The following is a 5,089-nucleotide window of genomic DNA, read 5'->3' as shown; positions in this document are numbered from 1 at the left end:
ACATTAGTGTTCTTAAGAGAAAAGTTTTGGTGAAGGGGTGGGAGTAGGAAGTGGGTAGATACCAGCTGGAGGGAAGAAAGGAGGGGAAGGGAGGGAGGAGAGTTAGGCCGGGATGATTCTTTCAGAAAGGTTGGCAGCAATGAGACTTCCTGGGGGCAGAGACCGTGTTTTCGTTTCTGCAGTTCCACCACACAGCAGGAGGGATGCGAGTGTTTGATGGATGAATAAGTAAGTGAGGGAATGAATGATTTTCTGTGGGAGCTTAAAGTATGGAGAGATGGAAACCAGGTGCCCGGGCCAGTGGGCATGGGATTGAGCAGGAATGTGCTTCTTAGAGGGAAAGCGTCAGGGACAGACTTGATTTCTAAGGTGGTGTCCATAGGAACGGAGTAAGCAGGTGGGCTCCCATGCAGAGGAAGCTATGAAAGCAAAGGCAGCCCTTGCACCTACAAGTGCAAAGTCATGGCATGCCAGATAGGAGGAACATGCAGACTGAGCCTGGACGGGGGAGATCTGGCTGCTACACTGAAACTTTTCTTCTTGCTTCAGGAGGTAATGGGGAAACATACCAGGGCCGTGAGCAGACATCACGGTGGGTCAAATGCAGACTGAGCTAATAAGAAGAGGGAGCACAAAACCTCAAAGGTAAAACTAGATCTATTTCTTACTGGCATCACGTCACCTGTCTTCCTAGTGGAAGAATAAAACAGTGCACAGAAGCTGTTATTTCAGGCCCCATAACCAAAACATGGCAATGCTGAAGATGCCACCGGAACAATGTCAGGCTCTTCCATTGTGACTTGGATCACAAGATTCCAGAAGAACACACAGGCTCCAATTTGAGGGGTAAGAAGATCATCTGGATGTGAAACCATGTTGTGGGCATTCAGACTCTGGAGTTTGTCCACTTGAAATAAACATGCAAGTGCCCGTCTCTGTAGTTTGGAGTTTAAACAGCTCAAGCACTCCTGTGTGTCTGCCCTGAGACAGAAGGCAGAGGCCTTGAAGGCACACCAGATGCCTGGGCTCAAGGGAACCCACGTGGGGCTTGGATTCCAGGGACCATGGTCCTGAGTTCAAGGGATCCCGCAAGCCTGCAGGTCCCAGGAGCTTCACGCTGTCTTCTGATCTGCTCCTCTCTAGAAGTCCGGGGAGGAAAGGGCTGCACCCTTTATTCCTCCGGTAAATTGTTTCCTATGCAAAGAAAATCTTTGCTTGAGAGAGCTCGAAACTTCTAACTAGAACTTGCCTGGCACCTGAGGTCCTTGTAGGTTCAAATATAGCTCCCTTCAGTCAAGGAAAATTCAATGCTCAGGAACTGAAGATTTTCCTTAAGCTGACTTCATGGGCCCTCATCAGTTTCACATTTTCTGTGAAAACCAGCATAAGCTACGTCCCTCAAATCTAACAATGAGAAAGCCAAAGGGAAAATACAAACCAGAGCAACGTGAGAGCTGTCCCCTGTCCATGAAGGTAGGAGGCTGCAGAGCCGAAGAAGGAAGCTGATCTTCAGCCTGGCAGTGACATGGCATAGTGACAGCACACAGCTCAGGCTGTGCACCAGGGACAGGGCTGGAAAGAAGACCCAGCGTTCTCTGAGCTGAGAAAGAAGGAGCGGAGCCAGTGGCATGAGGATGGGTGAGTGCTGCCTCAGCCAACTGAGTCCTTACTGAAGGAGGTCAGTCTTTGTGGGATTAGCCTCCGAAACTTACAGCCCTGATATTTAACACCCTGTGACTTGCAGGATGAGAACAGGAAGAGCTAAGATTTAAAATCCTCTTGGAAGTCTTCACATAGCCTCCTCCAAAATTAAGCAGCAAGAGAGAAACAGCACGTGTCTAGGATGGGAATAAGCTGAACATGCAAAACACAATAACGAGAACTGATGTTTAGGGAGGGTAGGTTTTTGCCAGCTCCATCAGCGACAGCCCTGGAGTGTGATGAAAGGTCCAGAAACAAGTTTTGGCCAGTGTCTGCCCTGAGAATTCCAGGACACCAGGAAGAAACACTAGTGAGAATCCCAGGACAACAGGAAGAAACACTAGTGAGAATCCCAGGAGACCAGGAAGAAACACTAGTGAGAATCCCAGGACACCAGGAAGAAACGCTAGTGAGAATCCCAGGAGACCAGGAAGAAATGCTAGTGAGAATCCCAGGACACCAGGAAGAAACGCTAGTGAGAATCCCAGGACACCAGGAAGAAACACTAGTGAGAATCCCAGGACACCAGGAAGAAATACTAGTGAGAATCCCAGGACACCAGGAAGAAATGCTAGTGAGAATCCCAGGACACCAGGAAGAAACACTAGTGAGAATCCCAGGACACCAGGAAGAAACGCTAGTGAGAATCCCAGGACACCAGGAAGAAATGCTAGTGAGAATCCCAGGACACCAGGAAGAAACACTAGTGAGAATCCCAGGAGACCAGGAAGAAACATTAGTGAGAATCCCAGGACACCAGGAAGAAACACTAGTGAGAATCCCAGGACACCAGGAAGAAACACTAGTGAGAATCCCAGGACACCAGGAAGAAACGCTAGTGAGAATCCCAGGAGACCAGGAAGAAACACTAGTGAGAATCCCAGGACACCAGGAAGAAACACTAGTGAGAATCCCAGGACACCAGGAAGAAACGCTAGTGAGAATCCCAGGACACCAGGAAGAAACGCTAGTGAGAATCCCAGGACACCAGGAAGAAACATTAGTGAGAATCCCAGGACACCAGGAAGAAACACTAGTGAGAATCCCAGGAGACCAGGAAGAAACACTAGTGAGAATCCCAGGAGACCAGGAAGAAATGCTAGTGAGAATCCCAGGACACCAGGAAGAAATGCTAGTGAGAATCCCAGGACACCAGGAGGAAATGCTAGTGAGACTCCCAGGACACCAGGAAGAAACACTAGTGCATCTGCAGGGAACCCACCATGAGTAAAGGGACAGAGAGTAGGTGGTCAGGTCATATGCTTAAAGTGTGTGATTTTAGTCCTAAAAGGAGAAAGAGGTCATGATTTCTACCTTCAAGTGCAAGTAGAATTTTTAGGAGAATTAACTGATTACTAACTCGTTATCACCCCTGCGTCTAATTCCGTAGCGTCTTGCACTCACGAGGCACAAACTGTGGGCATAAAAGCACTTGATGAAAGTTCGATGGATGGATGATGGACGGGCAACTTCAACACTCACCCCGTCTTAGAGGCTTTTACAAGCAGCTCTGCCAGCAGCTCATCTGACACCCCAGTCCCAATGAGTCCAGTCAGTTGGGCTCACGGATCAGCAGTTGACAGCCACACTCCTGTGAAGTTTGTTCACTTGAAATAAGAAGTGAGGAGCATTTCTGGACCCCGGAGCCAGGTGTGCATTTTGACTCCCTGCTCACGGTGGTGTGTAAGTCTACTCACAGGTACCATTTCGGCTCACCGTCCAAGTCAAAACCAAATGAAATGATAGAGATGGATCTCTAAACAAGGTGTTTTATTTCAGAAAATAGAAGTGCTATCCAGGTCCTACACACAGACCAGGGTGAACTTCAGTATGTCCAAAGAACAAAGAGAAGGTTGGAGGCTTTATTTAAAGGGAAATATTACCTATTGTTTAGAAAGAAAACTCATTGGCACTAGCAAGGTTTGGGGGAGCTGGAAAGCTCTGATTGGTGAGTGATGGCAACAGGTAGAACTGGCCTTAGAGCCAGGCCAATTTATCTCAGCAGCTCCTGGGTGATACTGTTCTTCCGGTGGGAGCAGGTCATTTTGGCAGCTGCCTTACAACGTCCTCCCTGGACAACAGCTTGTGCCCAGAGCACCTTTTATCCCCCAGTCTCTGAACTCTGATTTAGTTGGGTGTGACGAGATAACTCCAACTTGTATAACCAATGTTCACACTTAAAATATATTACTGAACTGGAATGGCCCAAGGAGCACACAACAGAGTTGAAAATCTACCTCATTTTTCTACCACATATTTACCCGAGAAGAGCATGTCATTTATAGAGGTAACAGTCTGCCTCCGCAGGGAAGCTTGGGAGACCCCACAGCTGTGCCACACCACACAGCACACCTACTTCAGCTCCCACAAAAGCAGCCGAGCCCTGCAGAGGCACCATGCTATTAAGGAAGCAAAAAGAACCGTATTTTCAGAAGCTGTTTATAAATGAATTCTCACAGGAGGTCTGCTTCCTCTGTGTCCACTGCAGAGTATTTTAAAGCAAGGGTTAATAGCTATTAGGTTTCTGGTCCCTCTACCACTGATGGAGTCTCGTGGAGAGATTTGTCTTTTTAAGAGCTTTTTTAACGTAAGAAATTCAGGGAAAGGTCCTATTACACAAACATAGGGGTCCCCTGCCCACCATGGAAACTCATTCAAATTAGGCACAGGTGCAGGCCCCTGGAGGGTGAAGTGGAGACACCTGTGAACAAGGGGTCCTCCTGCCTGGACTGAGCCCTCACAGGTGTGTCACCGAAGACATGGAGCAGGTGGCCTGCTGGGGGTGCAGCCAGGACCAGCTGCGTGTCCCAGGGCCTGCACCACCACCTCTGTGTCTGGACACAGCCTTCTCCAGGTGACAATGACAAACACAGACATTTCCATCCACTCACGCCTCTCGGTGCCTCTCCGAGGTAGCAGCATTCTGGAAACCTCTCTCTCTCTAGGTCAGCTAATAAGACAGCCACTGAGGCCTGACACACACCTGTGCTCCTGGTGCCTGTTCAGACCCAGGCAGTGACAAACAGCTTCAGGCACTGCAGGGACCTTGACATGGGGAAGCCTGGCCTGGCGTGGGGACTTCCTTAGAGGCACCCCAGATCCGGGCCTCAAGCCACTCTGCTTTTCCTTGCATAAAATTTAGATTAAGCCTCACTTAAAAAGAAAAAAAAGAAAGGGTTTTTTTGAAGGAAGTGACAAAACATTTGAGCACAGCCGGAGAGAAAAGCTGGCTGGGCCTGAATTGCAGCTTCTCAACCACTCGCAAGCTTTACTCTCCTAATTGCTCAGTTCACTCTGGTGTGAAAAGGAGAGAATTGCAGGCAATGATCTCAATATCGTTTCCAGCTTTTAAAAAGACCCTGGGGCCACGCTATTGTCTAAAGTAAAA

The 5,089-nt window shown here is 48.6% G+C and overlaps 1 annotated feature.

Annotated features, from left to right (window-relative positions):
* Window positions 225-398: a silencer, noted in NCBI's record as "fragment chr10:132373035-132373208 (GRCh37/hg19 assembly coordinates)". NCBI's record gives its function as "represses an EF-1alpha promoter that drives an FKBP-Casp9 reporter gene in an ReSE screen in K562 erythroleukemia cells {active_cell/tissue: K562}" and the evidence as "EXISTENCE:reporter gene assay evidence [ECO:0000049][PMID:32094911]".

This window comes from Homo sapiens, chromosome 10 (assembly GCF_000001405.40).
Source record: "Homo sapiens chromosome 10, GRCh38.p14 Primary Assembly".
Lineage (NCBI taxonomy): Eukaryota > Metazoa > Chordata > Mammalia > Primates > Hominidae > Homo > Homo sapiens.
This window is presented reverse-complemented; position numbering and strand designations above follow the sequence as displayed.